General features: G+C 41.8%; 2 long non-coding RNA genes across 4 annotated transcripts in view, besides 3 other annotated features; one reads left to right on the top strand and one right to left on the bottom strand.

Moving 5' to 3' along the window:
- Nucleotides 1–20,122, bottom strand: part of MAILR (macrophage interferon regulatory lncRNA) — a 113,606-nt gene that overhangs the window by 83,448 nt on the left and 10,036 nt on the right. For both annotated transcript variants that reach the window (NR_126338.1, NR_126339.1), the window contains exon 2: nt 14,371–14,534. This is a non-coding gene — a long non-coding RNA (macrophage interferon regulatory lncRNA). The remainder of the gene's footprint in view (nt 1–14,370; nt 14,535–20,122) is intronic.
- LOC124902000 (uncharacterized) lies at nt 565–11,284 on the top strand. 2 transcript variants are annotated; one of them, XR_007061041.1, is made up of 2 exons: nt 565–2,144; nt 7,282–11,284. It is a non-coding gene; the product is annotated as an uncharacterized LOC124902000 (long non-coding RNA). The 2 variants fall into 2 exon arrangements; XR_007061042.1 differs by having other exon boundaries at nt 565–626; nt 7,282–7,775.
- Nucleotides 8,567–8,616: a silencer, noted in NCBI's record as "silent region_19449". NCBI's record gives its function as "represses an Ori minimal core promoter by ATAC-STARR-seq in GM12878 lymphoblastoid cells {active_cell/tissue: GM12878}" and the evidence as "EXISTENCE:reporter gene assay evidence [ECO:0000049][PMID:35858748]".
- Nucleotides 9,227–9,416: an enhancer, noted in NCBI's record as "active region_27781". NCBI's record gives its function as "activates an Ori minimal core promoter by ATAC-STARR-seq in GM12878 lymphoblastoid cells {active_cell/tissue: GM12878}" and the evidence as "EXISTENCE:reporter gene assay evidence [ECO:0000049][PMID:35858748]".
- Nucleotides 10,067–10,266: an enhancer, noted in NCBI's record as "active region_27780". NCBI's record gives its function as "activates an Ori minimal core promoter by ATAC-STARR-seq in GM12878 lymphoblastoid cells {active_cell/tissue: GM12878}" and the evidence as "EXISTENCE:reporter gene assay evidence [ECO:0000049][PMID:35858748]".

Genomic DNA, 20,122 nt, shown 5'->3' with positions numbered 1-20,122 from the left:
TTACAGGCCTTCCTTTAGGTTATACTTAACCTAAACCTGTGTCCCAGGTTGCTAGGACATACCTAGTTTATACCTGTTATCCTGGAATAATTGTTAATAGGGCCCCTTTCAGTCTCAAAAGTGTCTTCATTTTTGTGATAAACTATATGGTCCTCCCAGCTTCAGTACATGTTGTCTGTGGGAGGGTCCTGTTAAGATTCACATGGTCCTTGGGCATTGGTATTTACTAGCTTAGTTAACTGAGGGCAGGAAAGTACTTATGGAGATTTGGAGGAATTGCTCTAGGTTTGTTAATCTGGTGTGGGGGTTGGGGAAGGTAGGGGACAGACTTCAGATTAACTAGGTTTAAGAAAAGACCTGAGGCTTCTGATTTGGTTTGGCTGTGTCTACACCCAAAATCTTATCTTGAATTGTAATCCCAATACCCATAATCCCCACGTGTCAAGGGTGGGACCAGGTGGAGGTAATTGGACCATAGGGGCAGTTTCCCCCACGCTGTTCTCGTGATAGTGAGTCTCATGAGATCTGATGGTTTTATAAACGTCTGGCATTTCCCTGGCTTGCACTCCCTGTCCTGCTGCCCTGTGAAGAAGGTGCCTGCTTCTCTTTTGCCTTCTACCATGATTGTAAGTTTCCTGAGGCCTCCCTAGCAATGCAGAACTGTGAGTCAATTAAACCTCTTTCCTTTATAAATTACCCAGTCTCAGGTATTTCTTCATAGTAGTGTGAAAATGGACTAATACAGCTTCTATCCTCACCTCCTATGCAAACCTCAGTCTGGTCAGGTGTCATATTCCGTGGTTTTTTTTTTTTTTTTTTTTTGGAGATGGAGTCTTGCTCTGCCATCCAGGCTGGAATGCAGTGGCGTTATCTTGGCTCACTGCAACCTCCACCTTCAGGGTTCAAGCGATTCTCCTGCCTCAGCCTCCTGAGTAGCTGGGACTACAGGTGCACACTGCCACGCCTGGCTAATTTTTTGTATTTTAGTAGAGACAGGGTTTCACCGTGTTGCCTAGGCTGGTTTTGAACTCCTGAGCTCAGGCAATATGCCTGCCTTGGCCTCTCAAAGTGCTAGGATTACAGGTGTGAGCCACTGCACCCAGCCCATCTTCTGTATTTTCTAACCCTTCCCAAGGTTTACCTCAGGATTGTAATTGTCTGTGGATCTGCCAGATTTCCCAACAGACCATATATTTCCTAACAGCAAGGACTATGTGTCATTCGGTTTTCTATCCCCAGTGTCTAATCCCATGTTTTTCACATAAGAAGCACCCATTAAAATTTGTTCCTTAGTTGGGCATGGTGGCTCACACCTGTAATCTCAGCATTTTTGGCGGCTGAGGCAGGAGGATAGCTTGAGCCCAGGAGTTCGAGACCAGTCTGGGGAACATAGGGAATCCCCATCTCTACAAAAAAATTATTTTTATTTAAAAATCTCTTCCTTAATGAATAAATAAATCAAATATTCAACTTCTTCATCTGTGAAAGGGAAAACCTAGCCTTTCAAAGTTATTGTGAGGCTTTCAGATGATTTATGTAAACTGGTTAGCACATGCCTAGCAAATTACAGACTTTCATTAACTAATAATTTAGGTGCTATCGTTGCTGCTAGTTATTCAATCAACCTAAAAGCAGCCCCACTGAAACAAAGCCAGAGGACTGGAAATGCAGCTCTTAAAGAGTGTTGCCATCTTGTTGTGATGTATTATTCCTTCTGCAAGCTGCCTCTGAGGTTCCATGTCAATGAGGTTTATCTCCACGGACATGTGGGATGAGAGACGAAGCATACAAAGTGGTGTGTGCCAAAACTTACTTATGGTCATCAGTTCTTAGAAAATAAGGTAAGGCCAAGCACGGTGGCTTACATCTGTAATCCCAGCACTTTGGGAAGCTGAGGCACACGAATCACTTGACTCAGGAGTTCAAGACAAGCCTGGGAAACCTGGTGAAACCGTTTCTAACAAAAATGCAAAAAATTAGCTGGGCATGATGGTGTGTGCCTATGGTCCCAGCTACTCAGGAGGCTGAGGCAAGAGGATCACTTGAGCCCAAGAAGCAGAGGTTGCAGTGACCTGAGATCATGCAACAGCACTCCAGCCTGGCTGACAGAGACCCCATCTCAAAAGAAATAAATAGAAAACAAGGTAAACAAATTACATGAGTGGGAGGATGCACTAAGTGTTTGGGAGGGGGTTATAATACAATTGGTTGCAGAAAGCGGGGCTGGGTGTAGAGGTGGCAGAGCAAATATGAAAAATGGGAAGGAAGTTCCAAGGGCACCTTCATATGCTTTGCAGAATTCCAGGCACAAGATGATAGCTACATTCCCTATTTAATCCTTTTAAACTCCTATGAGATGGGGTATTACCCCCCATTTTCATCTGAGAACACTGTGGGGATGATGATTAGATAACTTACTTAGGGATCTATAGCTGTTGAGAAGTGCCACTGAGATTCACCCCAGGTCTGTCCCCATCAGACCTTATACACACTCTTCCCACAGCACCTGCCTTGGGACTGGGAAGGCAAGAAGGTTCTGGGATACAGTAGCTGATCTCCATTTCCTGACCCAAGCTACAAGAAGTGAGACACCACTAGGCTCACCCTCAGCATAAGACCTCGCCCATAGTACGCTCCCAGCAAACGTCAAATGACCAACGAGAACTGAGTTCAGGGATACTCTCATGAGGACATGGCAGTAGGGCAGACAAGTGCCAAAATTGAAAGTATCATTTGTATCATTCCTAGGTGTTCTTTGTTATTCTTCTTCTACAGAGATCTTGAATCAGGAACTCAGAGAGAAATGTAATTTATATATTTTGCTGGAGAACAATTACTTTTCATTTTACTTATTTTAAATAAGATGAAAAGTACCCATTTGATGCCTATAAAACATAAAACATGCCTAAATAACATGCACATAATTTACAATTCATGCTTCATGACTTTTCTTTTACTCTAAGACATTTTAAAATGAGAATTTATACTTACAGGTATAATATTTTGGATCTGGAAAGGACCTTGGCATTCATCTGATCAAACACTCTATTTTTCAGATGAGAAAGCTGAGAGACATTATTATGTGGCTTGTTGAAGGGCAGGCTCTATAGAGTGACAGAGGCTGGGATGTAGTTATTAGGTTGGTGCAAAAGTAATTGCCATTTAATGGCAAAACCGCAATTACTTTTGCACCAACCTAAGAGAAACCCAGGGTACTCCCCACCAGGCCACGGCCACAAGTTTTCAAACCATGGAAAGCAAGTCATTAATGGATAGTAAAGTCAATTTTAGTAGGCTAAATCCAACTTCGTGTTTTACTTTTACAAATATTTATAATATGCTCTAGAACAATTTTAGGTTAACACAAAAATTGCACAGAAAGTATATTTGATACAATTAATGAACTAATATTGATACACTAGCATTAACCAAAGTCCATAGTTTGGCCGTGCATGGTGGGTGGCTCACACCTATAATCCCAGCACTTTGGGAGGCCGAGGCAGGCAGATCAGTTGAAGCCAAGAGTTTGAGATCAGCCTGGGTAACATGGTGAAACCCTGTCTCTACTAAAAATATAAAAATTAGCCTGGCATGGTAGCGTGCACCTGTAATCCCAGCTACTCAGGAGGCTGAGGCACAAGAATCACTTGAATCCAGGAGGTGGAGGTTGCAGTGAGCCAAGATTGTGCCACTATACTCCAGCCTGGGTGACAGAGTGAGACCCTGTCTTAAAAAATAATAATAAAAAGTCCACAGTTTACATGAGGATTCACTCTTTTGTTGTACAGTTCTGTGGGGTTTGATAAATGTATAATGTCATGCATCTATCACTGCCCTAAAAGTGCCCTGTGTTCTGCCTATTCATCCCTTCCCTGCTCCTGAACCTCTGTCCCAACTTTTGTATATATAAAGTGGAATAGAATTTTAAAAAACCATAGTGCATACCTCATTGCAAGAGTATTATTTCATGAAACTTGTTTTAGATATATATGTAAATATATGTGTATTTAGGTTAACATGCAAAATATATTTCTTATTGTGGGTTGGAGTAAAAAAAAAGTTTGAGAAACACTCTTACTTAAAATTCTAGGGAATAAATCCAGAAAATGAATACACAGATGGAACATTTCATATATGAAACCAAAACAGGAAAAAACATTACCAAGAGACATTAAGAAAATAAACAAGCATACAAAAATTCTCTGAAGAGTACAAAGAGGTCAGAAAGTAAACGGTTTTTCCCCAAATCAGTTTTGATTTTAGCTTCTTCGCTGGGACTGCAAATCATTTCAAGACTTTAAGGTTCTCAGAGTACAAGATATGGAAAGTCTGGGCCCAGGCGGGGAAGAATGAGGGTTTCATCCCTACAAACTGATTCTGTTCAAAGTTTCAAACAAATGTTGTCTCTGGATGGTAATCAACAAAGAAAAAAAGTCTCTTCAGGAGGTTTTTAAAAATATTGGTTTCACTCTGTGGTGTCATATTTCTTATTCATCAGAAATATCATGGAACTAAGTGGGGTGTTGTTTTAACTTCATGTTATGCCAAGTGTCTGAAGATTTCTAAAGGATCCAAATTTCTTTTCCTTTTTTTTTGAGATGGAGTCTTGCTCTGTTACCCAGGCTGGAGTGCAGTGGTATGATCTCAACTCACTGCAATCTCCACCTCCCAGGTTCAAGTGATTCCTGTGCCTCAGTCTCCTGAGTAGCTGGAACTACAGGCACACGCCACCACCCCCAGCTCATTTTTGTATTTTTAGTAGAGACAGGGTTTCACCACGTTGGTCAGGCTGGTCTCGAACTACTGACCTCAGGTGATCCTTCCACCCCGGCCTCCCAAAGTGCTGGGATTACAGGCGTGAGCCACTGCACCTGGCCTTGAATTTATTCTTGAGTTAGATTCCTCAATTAAAAAAAAAAATCTCCCTTCTGTGTACAGCAGCTCTTCATCTGTCCAAGAGACATACAGAATCTAGATACACCAAAGTTTTCAGAGAAATACGGACTTCAAACTTTCAATCACACTGGGCAATCACGTGGCAATCTCTGCTTTGATGCAGTAGGAAGATGGCAGATAAGCTAAGGCTCCAAGTCCAAGCTGTGGCACTGATCACTCTGTGACCCTGGGAAGAGGTTCTCCCTTTGAATTCTTTTTCAAGAATACATATACAAGTTCTATAGTAAATAATTTTTTTTTTTGAGACGGAGTCTTGCTCTGTTGCCCAGACTGGAGTGCAGTGATGCGATCTCGACTCACTGCAAGCTCCACCTCCCAGGTTCATGCCATTCTTCTGCCTCAGCCTCCCCAGCAGTTGGGACTACAGGCGCCCACCACCATGCCCGGTTAATTTTTTGTATTTTTAGTAGAGACGGGGTTTCACCGTGTTAGCCAGGATGGTCTCGATCTCCTGACCTCCTGATCCGCCCGCCTCGGCCTCCCAAAGTGCTGGAATTACAGGCATGAACCACCGCACCCGGCTTGAATTTTTTTTTTTTTTTTTTTTTTTTTGAGACAGGGGCTCATTCTGTTGCCTAGGCTGGAGTGCAGTGGCACAATCTTGGCTCACTGCAACCTCCACCTCGGAGGCTCAAGAAATCCTCCCACCTTAGCCTCCCCCTCCTGAGTAGCTGGGACTATAGGCAGGCACTACCACACCCAGCTAATTTTTGTATTTTTTGTAGAGATAGGGTTTTGCCATGTTACCCAGGTTGGTCTCGAACTCTCGAGTTCAATTGATTCACCTGCCTCAGCCTCCCAAAGTGTTGGGATTACAGACGTGAGCCAGCAGGCCTGGCTGAGGAGCTTCTCCTTGTATGAACACTGAGCTGGGCTAAGCCCTTTGCATGTGTTTCCAGTCCTATCAACAATCTTATGACATAGAAATTATTGTACATATTTAACAGTTGAATAAACTCAGGCTCAGAAAGCTTAAGAAGCATGCTCAAAGTTACCCAGAAAGATAGTGGTTAAGCCAGATTGGAACCCATGTCCGAAAGGGCATTCACTCTTCTAAGTATCCCCAGCGCCTAATATAGTGCTCGGAAGGCTGGGTGGAGTGGCTCATGTCTGTAATCCCAGGACTTCGGGAGACTGAGGCAGGCGGATCACCTGTGGTCAGGAGTTCAAGACCAGCCTGACCAACATGGTGAAACCCCATCTCTACTAAAAATACAAAATTAGCCAGGCGTGGTGGCAGGCGCCTGTAATCCCAGCTACTTGAGAAGCTGGGGCTGCAGAATTGCTTGAACCCAGGAGACAGAGGTTGCAGTGAGCCGAGATCGAGCCATTGCACTCCAGCCTGGGCAACAAAAGCAAAACTCTGTCTCAAAAAAAAAAAAAAAAAAAAAATATATATATATATATATATATATATATATATATATATATATATATATATAGTGCTGGGTAAATAGTACAGGCTCAATAAACATTCCCTAAAGGAACGACTGACTGAAGAGCAAAGGCTTGTCAAATAATTCAGGATGGCTGTGAAGATAAACAAAATAATAATGCTATGATTATCTTTTATTGAGCACTTACTTTGTGCCAGGCACTATGTTAAAGGCTTTACATGGGCTATGTGCGGTGGCTCACATCTGTAATTCTAGCACTTTGGGAGGCCGAGGCAGGCAGATTGCCTGAGCTCAGGAGTTCAAGACCAGCCTGGCCAACACATTGAAACCCTGTCTCTACTAAAATACAAAAAAATTAGCTGGGCGTGGTGGCAGGCGCCTGTAGTCCCAGCTACTCGGGAGGCTGAGGCAGGAGAATTGCTTGAACCTGGGAGGTAGAGGTTGCAGCGAGCTGAGATCACGCCACTGCATTCCAGCCCGGGCGACAGAGTGAGACTATGTCTCAAAAACAACAACAACAAGGCTTTACATGTATTATATACACAACATACATAAAAGATTTAACACACAGGATGGCATATAGTAAAGACTTCAGTGTTACTAATATTATTGCATATCACTACAATGGTAGCTATCATCATTATAGTAAAATAGTTTTAATATTATGATCTTTTCCAGCCATACCCTTAGTGCTTCTCTCAGTCTTACTGCACAGGTCAGACTGAGGGTAAGCCCTTGCAGCAGAGAATCAGCTCCAAACCTGGTTCCTCCTTCCATTTCTTTTTCACATAGGCACAATTGCAACATGATGTGTTAGTTAACCTCTAAATTACACAAGGAGCCCCAGTGTGCTTCTCTGTGTTGGGGAGGAAGGGGGTTGCGCTCTTGTGCTCCCACCTGGTTTGCATAACGTACTTTTCTCTTTCAGAGTTAATTGAGAAAGAAGCCATGTGGTCTGTGGCAGCAGCTGGAGGAAGGCATGGTGACTCAACAGGGCTCTGCATGGAAGAGTACAAGGTGGTTCTGGGAAGCAGCAAAGATTGGCCACCCCAAGGCTCTGAGGGAGCCGCATGCAGGCTCTAAGCAGAATCAGGCCAACCCCTGGCCTGGAGGAAGTAGGGGAAGAGAGCTGCCAGTGGCAAGACCTGCTCAGGCTGTGTGAGTGGCTGTGGAGACACTGGGAAGAAGTTCTGGGGAACTGGACCGTGGGGTACTATCCTAGCACTCAAAGTTCCTTGTGACCTGAGCTAGCATATTTTACAGTGGGGAAGTAACAGGTACTGCCCATGAGGATAAGTAACATCTTGAGCTCCAAACCTTGCAATTAAACTTTCAGATAGTAACTGGAATTCTTCATGAAGCCCATGACACAGGCAAGTATTATGCATATTTTTAGAAATAAAGTACTTTATTAGAACTACAGATCTCCACTCTAGTGGTCCTATCATAGAATTCATTATCTATCTATCTATCTATCTATCTATCTATCTATCTATCTATCTTGAGATGGAGTCTCACTTTGTTGCCCAGGCTGGAGTGCAATGGCATGATCTCAGCTCACTGCAACCTCTGCCTTCTGGGTTCAAGCGATTCTCCTGCCTCAGCCTCCCAAGTAGCTGGGGTTACAGGCATGTGCCACCATGCCTGGCTAATTTTTGTATTTTTAGTAGAGATGGGGTTTCGCCATGTTGGCCAGGCTGGTCTTGAACTCCTGACCTCAGGTGATCCACCCACCTCGGCCTCCCAAAGTGCTGGATTACAGTCATGAGCTATCACACCCAGCCACATTATCAATATATTTTGAAACAGGACTCATACAAATATAATATGAAGTCACTGTTACCTCTTATGACTTCAAAGTCTTTTACCAAAAATTCTCAAGGGGATCTTAATCAATCTGCAAAGACTTACCATTAAAAAAAAATTTATATTCTCTGAGGTAGAGTTGATGACCACCTGAGTAGATAGAAGTCAGAGACTGGTGTTTGAGTCCCATTTCACTAGGACTTAATTGTGAGATCTTGGGAAAGTTCCTTTGTTTGTAAAACATGGGGAAAAATTCTTAGCCTGTATCATAAGAACTTTTTAAAAATTCACATGAGATAATGTATGGAAATTGATAAAGCACCATATGAAATTATTGCATTTTACCTACTAAAGAAACTGAGACACAGAGTGATATGGTTTGGCTCTGTGTCCCCACACAAATCTCATGTTGAATTGCAATCCAAATTGTAATCCCCACATGTCAAGGTAGGGTCCTAGTGGGAGGTGACTGGATCATGAGGGCAGTTCCCCCTGCTGTTCTCGTGATAGTGAGTTCTCATGAGATGGGCTTGTTTGATAAGTATCTGGCACTTACCCCTTTCTCTTCTTCTTGCCTGCTGCCATGTAAGATGCGCCCTGCTTCCCCTTTTCCTTCCAAGATGATTGTAAGTTTCCTGAGGCCTCTCCAGCCATGCAGAACTGTGAGTCAATTAAACGTCTTTTGTTTATAAATTACCAGTTTATAAAGATACCAGTCTCAACAGTATCTTTACAGCAATGTGAAAATGGACAAATACACAGAGTGAACAAAAGATTTGCCCAAAGTCATAATTAGCAAATGGAGAGTCAAAGATGAAATAGAAATTCAAGTGACTGGACATGGTACACGGCAGAGTTGATTCAGATAAACAATTTGCTTTGTTGAAGTCAGCATGCATGTGACTCTAAAAAGCATTAGTCCAGTGAGGTAAAAAGGAGCATTTACTGAGTGTATAGAGAGACCTCACAGTATCGACGGATGGAACACAAAGAGTTGCTGGGTTTCACCCAAATTGGCCAGAAAACTGGGGAATTCTCAGGGACAGGGTGGCTTGTCCCTCTGTGTCCCCCTTGTCTTTGCTTCTCAGCCAGCTCCAGCCTCTCCCACATTCTGTCTGTCTTCCTCGGCTCCTTCATCCTGTGTGAGGCACAACATGGCTGCTCTTTCTGGATCTAGACAAGGAAGACCACTGAGCTCCAGTACTCACAATCAACTGGCAATACACACTAAACTTCTTCTTCATGAACTAGCCTGGCTCCTCTGAGAGAACCTGGACCACACAAGTCATTTCTGAGCAAATAATTTACTCCACCTGGGTCAGGCATGTTCGACGCTGGTCTAAGCAGTGATGGGCTTCCCCACCACCACCTATCCCCAGAAGTCACATTACCTCATGTTATCTTGTACAGCTGTACCTTCCAGAGAGCTGTGGGTGGCAAGGGTGCTATACTGCCAGGCTGGGTGTTATCACATAAAGAGAGGAACTATGTATAGAGAGAGCATGCTTTGGATGATTTCATGATATATTTCAGTTATGAGATTTAAGATCCAAATTTCCTGGTCAAAAAAATCAACTCAGTTTAACTAATATTGTGTTGGGCTCTTAAGATACATGTCCACAAGTTGTGTCCACAAATAACTGTAATATAAGATAGTCTATGAAAGTTTCTTAGAAATTGTCTTATAAAATTACATGAAAGCATAAAAAAAGAATTAAGCCCTCCTGGGGGAGTCAGAAAGCTTTTACTAAGTGCAATTTGAGACTTGTCTTGAAGCTTTCATTTAATTTTTATAGAGAGGTGGAAGATGGGGAAGACACACACAAAGCAGTGGGGAAAGCATGAACAAAATATGGAGAAGTGAAATTACATGTACACTCTGAAAGTGTGAAGAGTATAGTGTGCTGAAGAGCAGCATGCAGGAGGGTGAAAAGGAAACACGTTAATTGACTCATCACAACTATACACTGGAAATTTTCAGGTGACACCTCATTTAATCTTTTTTTTTTTTTTTGAGATGGAGTTTCACTCTTATTGCCCAAGCTGGAGTACAGTGGCGCAATCTCGGCTCACTGCAACCTCCGCCTCCCAGGTTCAAGTGATTCTCCTGCCTCAGTCTCCTGAGTAGCTGGGACTACAGGTGCCCACCACCACACTCGGCTAATTTTTTGTATTTTTAGTAGAGATGGGGTTTTACCATGTTGGCCAGACTGGTCTCGAACTCCTGACCTCAGGTGATCTCCCTCCTTGGCCTCCCAAAGTGCTGGGATTACAGGCATGAGCCACCGTGCCTGGCTGCTTCTTCGTCTTTTTTTTTTTTTTTTTTGAGACCAAGTCTCACTCTGTCACCCAGGCTGGAATGCAGTGGTGCCATCTTGGCTCACTGCAACCTCCAACCACCACCTCCTGGGTTCAAGCGATTCTCCTGTCGCAGCCTCCCGAGTAGCTGGGATTACAAGCTCGTGCCACCACACCCGGGTAATTTATGTATTTTTAGTTGACATCGGGTTTCACCATGTTGGCCAAGCTGGTCTCAAACTCCTGAGCTCAAGTGATCTGCCCACCTCTGCCTCCCAAAGAGCTGGGATTACAGGCGTGAACTACTATGCCCGGCCTCATTTAATCCTTTCAACAATCCTTGAGGTAGTGTCTATTGCCCCTATTTGACCAAGGTACATGAAAGCTGAAGCCACTTTTCTACTGTACCATGTGGGGGCTGAGCATGAGAACAGATGGAGGGAAGGTCTGCCCACCATCTAAGGAGTTCATACCAGATTCTAAAGGCATTGTGAGGTCACACAATATTTCTAAACAAGGAACAGCACAAACAGATCTGAATTTTAGAAAAATAATGCTGGTAGTAATGTAGGGATTAAACAGAATATTCTTTCTCTGTCATTCATTCATTTAATTTTAAAAAATATTGAAAACTTACTGTGGGTCAAGATTGTGTTACAAGGCACTGTGGGAAAAAATGTTACATATGCCAGATGTGGCCACTAATCTCATGATGCTTATTATACTAACTTATATATGTCTTCCTCAACATATATATTCTATAAAACAAATGATGCTCCACTTATGATGGGATTACATCCCAATAAACCCATTGTAAATGGAAAATAGTCTAAGTCAAAAATGCATTTACTACCCTAATAAGCCCATCATAAAGTTGAAAAATTGTAAGTCAAACCATCATAAGTTGGGGTCTATTTGTATACTCACATACACACATATACAAATACATATATATATAGAGAGAGTAAACCTCTAAATTTTAATTATCTTTTACCTCACAAAAATAGTATATTTTTGTTTTAAAAAGTAATTTATATATTCTGGAAATATCCCAAACATATCCCTTATCAGATATATGATTTGCAGATATTTCCTCCCATTATGTAGGTTGCCTTTTTACCCTATTGATAGTGTCTTTCGGCACACAAAAGTTTTTAGTTTTCATGGGGTCCACTGTTGGTTTTTTCTTTTGTTACCTTTGTCTTTGGTATCACATCAAACAAATATGCCAAATCCAATGTCATATTTTCTCCTGCATTTTCTTCTAAGAGTAGGTCTTACCTTTAGATGTTTGATCCATTTTGAGTTAATTTGTATATATGATGTAAGGTAAGAATCCAACTTCATTCTTTTGCATATGGATATGCAGTTTTCCCAGCACCATTTGTTACAAAGATTGTCCTTTTCCCATTGAATGGTCTTGGCATCCTTCTTGAAAATCAATTGACCATATATGTGAGGGTTTATTTCTGGGCTCTCTATTCTATTCCATTGGTCTATATGTCCTCACACTAGTACCATATTGTTTTGACTACTGTAGATTTGTAGTAAGTCTTGAAATCAGAAAGTGTGAACCCCTCCAACTTTGTTCTACATCAGTTGTTTTGGCTATTCAGGGGCCCTTGAGATTTCATATAAATTTTAGGATGGGTTTTTCTATTTCTGCAAAAAAAAAAAAAAATTGGGATTTTCATAGGGATTGCATTGAATCTGCAGACTGGCTAGTATTTACACAGCACTTGGAATGCACTAAATGCCACTGAAGTGTGTACTTTAAAATGGTTAATTGTATGTTATGTGAACTTCAGCTCAATTAAAAAGAAAAGATTGGGTGATTATACCTTAAAAGCAGGTATGGGGACAGCATGAGGCAACTAGAAGGGAAAGGAGGTTGTAGTTAGAGGGAGGAAGGTTGGAGTTTAAGCCCTCTAATACAGAATAGTTGGGGGCAGGTGAAGGTCCCTGGAGTTGAGCAGATAAAAGTGCAGGAAGGGTAGGGTGCTTTAAAGGTAATCCACAAAGACAATGACCTCTAAAGTAGATTCGAGACTGCAGTTTCAGAAGCACGCACACCAAGCTGTGCATGGTGGTCATCACTGGAGTAGGGTGCAGATAGATAAGATTATAGAGGGATTTTATTATAGTAGTTTTTTTTTTCAAGGATACAGTTTCACTCTGTTGTCCAGGCTGAAGTGCAGTGGCTATTTACAGGTGCGATCATAACTCACTACAGCCTCCAACTGGGTTCAAGCAATCCTCCCCCCTCAGCCTCTTTCATAGCTGGGACTGCAGGCATATGCCATCATGCACGGCTAATTTTTTTAGTATTTATTTTTTGTAGATATGAGGTCTTGCTATGTTGTCTAGGCTGGTCTCAAACTCCTAGCCTCAAGAATCTCCTGCCTCAGCCCCCCCGTGCACTGGGATTACAGGTGTGAGCCATCCAGCATGGCGTATTATAGTATATTTTTAAGGAGAAAGAATAATAAAAAAATATTGTTTTAAAGCTGTAATTTAAGATCTTTAATCTAGGAGAGAAAGATTATAAACCAGGTGCCTTTAAAAAAAATCATCGTAGGAGTGTCAGGAAGGTGTTAGATGATACAGGCATGGACGGATGGGGGGCGGGCATGCCAGCTGGCTTAATCTCTTATTTATTTTCAGAGCAATGGCGTAGCAGTAGCACTGTGAAGCTGGGAGAAGGCCAACCCTGCTCCCAACCCCGCAGTATATGAGGACTGGTAAAGTAAACACCCCTCAATTCAAGACAGCAGCAGGGGAAGCTATGTTCTTGTAAGATAGCCAAGTTTCTGTTAAGGCAAGGAGTGGGAGACAGGCTGGGGATGTAGGATGGTTTGCTCTCCATAAAATGGGGGTTCCGGAGAGTACAGCAGAAAGGTATGAGGAGGAATGAAGCAGTGAGGGAATGAGTTTGGGGAGGCACAAGGGGGTCTGGGGACCAGTGTACAGGATAAGATGGATGAGTGGGGACACTTACATTTTAGGTACTTGTATGGAAAGAGAATAGGGAAGTTTAATGGGGAATAGCAGCCCCTAAGGGTCTAGAAAGATCTGTGATATCAACTTTAGCAATAGTGAAGCCTCTTGGGATCTGAGCAGGATGTTGGATTTAGCTGGGATGCTATGGATGGCAGAATTTGGGTAAACAATAAAATAACAATCCAAAGACAATACAAAGTTTCAGAGGCAGACACCAGCATGGATAACTCAAGGGCCCAAGAGCAAGCCAGATAGACTGAAGCAGGAGGTTTGTGTTGGGGATTAGAAAGCTGGCTCCCAGGGGTGGTGCTGGCTTTTGGAGAGCTAAGCCAAGAGAGGAGTGGGACATAATTTATAAGAAACAGGGGCTCATTATGGTTTTTGGAGGCATCGATGAAAATAGCATTTAAAGAAGATTAGTATGAGAAGTATCCACACAAAGTGGATTGGGCCAGGAAAAACTGGACACTCTGTCGGTTTTGCAACTATCCACACATGATATGGTAGAAGCTTGAACTAGGGAGAAGAAGAAAAAGATAATTTCAAGAAAAAAACGTGCAGAACTCATTTTATACATGAGAAGGGAGAAAAAAAGAGGGCGTTAAAATTTTCAAAAGTTTGAGCCTGACTGATTTGACAGTTAATCAAGAACATGGGCAGGCGAAAAAAAAAGAAACAAACAAAAAAAACATGGGCAGGGAGCCTGAAAGAAGAGGATGGGTGTAGGGGGAAGGAGGGGACAATGATGAACTTAATTTGGGACCTAGATTCATTAGACTCTTATAGCTAAATGACACTTTGCATCTGGCCATGTGGAACAACTACATTTTATAGATGAGGAAATCTTGAGTTTGAGTGACAGGAATTTTGGCTCTGCTATTTGCTAGATATACAAACTTGACAATTTACTGACCTCTGGGTCTCAGGCTGTTGTCATATCATGGCTTGAGTGAGGGGAGGATCTGCTTCCAAGCTCATTCACAAGGCTTGCAGTTCTTGCTGGCTGCTGGCTGGAAACATCAGTTCCTTGCCATGCAGGCCCTTCCAGAGAGTACTCAGAACATGGCAGCTGGCTTCCTTCAGAGAGAGAGAGAGAGACAGAGAGAAGATGCTCAAGAAAAAGCCCTAGTTGTTTTATAACCTAATCCCAAAAGTGACATCCCATCACCTTTGCCAAATTTTTTTCATTAGAAACAAGTCAGTAAATCCAGCCCATATTCAAGGAGAAGAGATTACACACCAAAAGGTGGGATCATTGGGGACCATGTTAGAGGCTGCCTGCCACAGTATCTAACAGTTATATTCTTAGATATCTTAGTCTATTTTTTGTTGCTTATAACAGAATATCTGAAATTGGGTTGGTTCGTTATTTATTTATTTAGAGATAGGGCCTTGCTCTGTCACCCAGGCTGGAGTGCAGTGGCACAATAACAGCTCACTGCAGCCTCAAACTCCTGGGCTCAAGTAATCCTCTGCCTCAGTCTCCTGAGTAGCTGGGACCACAGGTGCACACCACCACATCCAAGCTACTTTAACATTTTTAAAAATTAAAAAATAATTTAATTTTTGTTTTGTAGAGACAGAGCCTCGCTATGTTGACTAGGCTGGTTTCTAACTCCTCCTGGCCTCAAGCAATCCTCCTGCCTTAGCCTCCCAAAGTGTTGGGATTATAGGAGTGACCCACCACCCCTGGCCTGAAACTGGATAATTTTTAAGAAATGAAATTTAGTTCTCACAGTTTTGGAGGCTGGGAAGTCTATGGTTGAGGGGCCGAATCTGGTGAGAGCCTTCTTGCTGCTGGTGGGGACTCTGCAGTGTCCTGAGGTGGTGCAGGGCATCACATGGTGAAGGGGGTGAGTGTGCTCACATGCTAGCTAGGTCTGTTTTCCTTTTGTTATAAAACCATTAGTTTCTCTCCCATGATAACCTATTAATCCATGAAGCCATTAATCCATTAATCAATGAATTTATTAATCCTCTTAAAGTCCCTACCTCTCAATACTGCCACATGGAAGGTTAAGTTTCAGCATGAGTTTTGAAGGGGACATTCAAACTATAGCAATACCCATGTCTTCAATTTTGTAATTGGTTCACACATGCTGGGTAATTCAATAAATATTGAATCCATTGAGCTAGGACAGATAGAATTTGGGCATCAAGGAAGGCAAAAATAACTTTACCTACAGGAAAAATTCATTAAAATTTCCATAGAGGAAAATTAGGCTTATACTGATTTTTAAAGAATAAACAGGAGGTTATCAGGAGACAAGACGGGAAAGTTTAAGGTTATCCAGTGATTTTAATTTGGATGAGAGTTCTTTTGTACTGATTTTAAGGCTGAGTGAAAATATCACAGACATGAAGAAAATATTTTATAATTTGAAAAATCTCCAATCTTATTAAAATGTAAAATATTGAGCAACTCATAGGATTTTATCATTTGATTTCAAATATATCTTTAGAAATCCTAATAATCTAACTCAGTCTACCAGATCTTTTTTTTTTTTTTTTCTTTGAAAGAAGGTCTCACTGTCACCCAGGCTGGAGGGCAGCAGTGCAATCACAACTCACTGCAGTCTCAACCTCCCGGGCTTGATTGATCCTCCTACTTCAGCCTCCCGAGTAGCTGGGACTACAGGTGTGCCAACATGCCCAGCTAATTTTTTATTTTTTGTGGAGATGGAGGTCTCACTATGTCATCCAAGCTGGTCTTGAATTCCTGGGCTTAAGCAAGCAAACCTCGGCCTCCCAAAAAGCTGGGATTACAGGCATGAGCCATGATGTAAGGCAGTCTGCCAGATCTTGACAGCCATTTTACTAAATTAGCACTCCTAAGTTTCACTTGTTTTCTAAAAGTATTTTTATGAGCACAATGACCAACTAAAAACTTGTATGTAAAAGTTCAGAAATTTCTTTAACAGTACAATTTAGAATGCATCTAGGAAAAACACAAAGGCTATATTCTCCCATTTTCATGTCCATTATGATAAAGCTGAAATTCTAGTTGTATTTTTTATTGTCGATTTGATTAATTATATGAGCTTTGAAGGCCCCCATATTTGCCCCCACATTCTAGTACCATCCTGCTTTCCTCACATTTTGATTTGGTATTCTGGGTGCTTGGGATGAAAAAGAATATGGATGAACTTCAAATAAGCAGGTTTGGCAGTTTCCCGAAATGGCAAAAATGACAGAACATGAAGTAGGTTTCCCAAGGGCTTCTCTCCTAATAGTAAGGCCATCATTGTAGAACATGTTGTCCCATATTCTCCCCTGCGATTCTGGTCTGCTCACTGAGGCTGTCAGATCATGCAGGCTTTGCCCCATCTAACGAGGCTCCCCAAGATCTAAGCAACCAGAGGGCAGGAGCAAGCAGCAGTGGAGGCCCCAAGTAATACCATCTGGAAGAACACCGATTTTGCCTTACGGATCATTGTTCTCTAATAATTAAAAGGTTTAGTTCATGGTTTTATGGCACTATGAGCAGTAGGATGTTGGATCCAAGTGCTCAACAGTCCTCTAGCTCTGCTACCAGTGGGTTCGGTGCCTGGGAAGCAGGAGGCATGCTGCAACCAACTTGCTCGCACTAAATCACCTCCCACTCAAGGGTGGCTGCTGGCAGCTGGAAATTTGATTTAGGAACCAATATATTGTTAAGCACCATTGTTTTTGTGTACAAAGAACAATTCTGAGACTGTTTTTTTAAGCATTCTTGATGTTATACTATTATAGTGTCTCCCATTTTCTATTCATTCACTTTCTTTGAATAGCATTCTTGTCTTAGTAACTAGGAACAAAAATAAATATAAAACCTCCCATTTTACGACAGTTCATTTCCACTTCCCTGACTAAAAACTTAAAATTTATAAATTTCTTTCAAATTAGGCACAGGCTTTTTTAAAAATTTTTATTTTATTTATTTATTTATTTATTTATTTATTTATTTATTTATTTATTTATTTTTGAGACAGGGTCTCACTATGTCTCCCAGGCTGGAGTGCAGTGGCATGATTATAGCTCATTGCAGCCTTGATCTCCTGGGCTCAAGCGATCCTCCCATCTCAGCCTCCCAAGTAGCTGGGACCACAGGCGTACTGCACCACGCCCAGCTAATTTTTGTATTTTTGGTAGAGACAGGGTTTCGTCATATTTCCCAGGCTGGTCTTGAACTCCTGAGCTCAAGCTATCCATCTGCCAAAGTGCTAAGATTACAGGCATGAGCCATCGTGCCCAGTCGACATGGGCATTTTTTCTTTTTTCTTTTTTTTCAGATGGAGTCTCACTCTGTCACTCAGGATGGAGTGCAGTGGCAGGATCTCGGCTCACTGCAACCTCTGCCTCCCAGGTTCAAGTGACTCTCCTGCCTCAGCCTCCCGAGTAGCTGGGACTACAGGCACACACTGCCACGCCCAGCTAATTTTTTTGTATTTTGTAGCGATGAGGTTTCACCATGTTGGCCAGGCTGATCCCGAACTCCTGACCTCAGGTGATTTGCCTGCCTTGGCCTCCCAAAGTGCTGGGATTACAGGCGTGAGCCACCACGCCTGGAAATTTTTGTATTTTTTAAGTAGAGACAGGGTTTCACCATGTTGGCCAGGCTGGTCTTGAACTCCTGGCCTCAAATGATCTGCACGCCTTGGCCTCCCAAAGTGCTGGGATTACAGGTGTGAGCCACTGTGCCCAGCCATAGGCATTTTTTTTCCTATTGTACGTTGCTGATTTCTCTTGGGAGGAGAAATCAATAATATGGCCAACACTGATTAAAAAGTTTCCTAATTTTGCCAGGTGTGGTGGCTCACACCTGTAATCCCAGCACTTTGGGAGGCCGAGGTGGGTGGATCACGAGGTCAGGAGTTCGAGACCAGCCTGGCCAAGATGGTGAAACCCTGTCTCTACTAAAAATACAAAAATTAGCTGGGCATAGTGGCGCACACCTGTAGTCCCAGCTACTTGGGAGGCTGAGGCAGGAGAATCGCTTGAACCCAGGAGGCGGAGGTTGCGGGGAGCCGAGATCGTGCCACTGCACTCCAGCCTGGACGACAAGAGCGAAACTCCGTCTTTAAAAATAAATAAATAAATAAATAAAAAGTACCCTAATTTTAGTATGGGTAAGCAAAGAATTATAAAGAATTACAATTATATATAATTATATATATTTCTTTATAATTATAAAGAATTACAATTATATATAATTATATATATTTCTTTATAATTACAAAGATTATAAAGAAATACAACTTCTTTATGTTAATATGCAATCATCATATTTAAAGTTAAAGCTAATTTCATTTTGAAAAATGTAATATGTAATGAACACTGGGGCTATGGAAGTAAAGTGTCTAAGGAGTTCCTCTGGTCCAACATCCAATGCAGATATTCCCTCTGTATCTCTGAACAAATCCAGTGATATAATAGCTTTCTGCTCCATGAGAAATCCCATTCCATTGTCAGTTACCCCATGGTTAGGAAGACACTAGAAGTCTGTGCACAAGGCACTGTATTGAGTGTTCTGTGAGATTAAAAAAAACAGAAAACAAAAAACACCAAAGTTTTTGCCCTAAAGAAACTTAATATCTTGTTCACAGAGTTCAGACAATAATACAACAACATCAGACAAGAAATTCAAAGGGCATTAGAAAGGCACAAACCAAACCTCATGGAAACTCAGAGGGAGAAACAAGATAGCCTGTCTGGCAGAGGGAACCACTGATCCTCATGTACTGACGCTAATTTATTTCATTTACCTGTCAGAGCTTGACATATTATTCAGTGAAAGTTATCCAAAGAGGTAGTATAGCTAAAGAGTTTGGCTTTAGGTATTAGATTAGACATGTTTGGATATAAATGTGGACCCTCTCTGTCTAGCCAGGTGACCTTGAACAAATTACATAACTTCACTGTACTTCTGTTTTCTCATTTGTAAAATGGGCATAGTAAGACCTATCTACCTGAGAAGCTTACTGAAGGATTTAATAACAAAATAAAGTGCATGAGTATAGTGCCTGGTATTTGGTGTTTAAAGATGGTGGCTTTTGCTTCTACTTTTTTCCATTTCCCTTGTTATTTTTCACCAACCTTTCTCTAGAATTTTTATCATTACTAGTAATACATTTTTCTCCTAAATCTCCTCACTTTTATGGCTATCCTCCTCCATACCATCTAGTTTTCATTCTCCTGTACAATGTGCTATCTAGAACTTTACAACAATACAACTTTTCCCCAAAACAGAAAAGCTACAGCCAGGATCTGACCAAACATAGTAAACCAAACTGCTACCTCCCTTCTGACCTATACTTTTACTATTGCAATCCAAATTGCACTCAGGTTTTGTTCTGTTTTAAGCAATTCTGTGCCTTCGTTGGTTCATGGCAGGCTTGTGGTTAACTAACATTTCTAGGTACTATGTAAACTGTGAATAATCAGGCAGGCCTCTCCTGTCTTGTACTTGTGCAACTGATTTTTTTAACCTAAATATCTTTTTGTTTCTGTCTCTTGTATAAGCCTGGACTTTTGGTTGCAAGTGACAGAAAGCTAGCCGGACCTACCTTAGATAAGAATGAAAATTTTCTTTTTTTTTTTTTTTTGAGACAGAGTCTCACTCTGTCACCCAGGCTGGCGCGATCTCGGTTCACTGCAAGCTCCGCCTCCCAGGTTCACGCCATTCT

Source organism: Homo sapiens, chromosome 8, assembly GCF_000001405.40.
Source record: "Homo sapiens chromosome 8, GRCh38.p14 Primary Assembly".
Lineage (NCBI taxonomy): Eukaryota > Metazoa > Chordata > Mammalia > Primates > Hominidae > Homo > Homo sapiens.
Note: the sequence above shows the minus strand (reverse complement) of the source record. Positions and strands in the feature narration are given on the sequence as shown.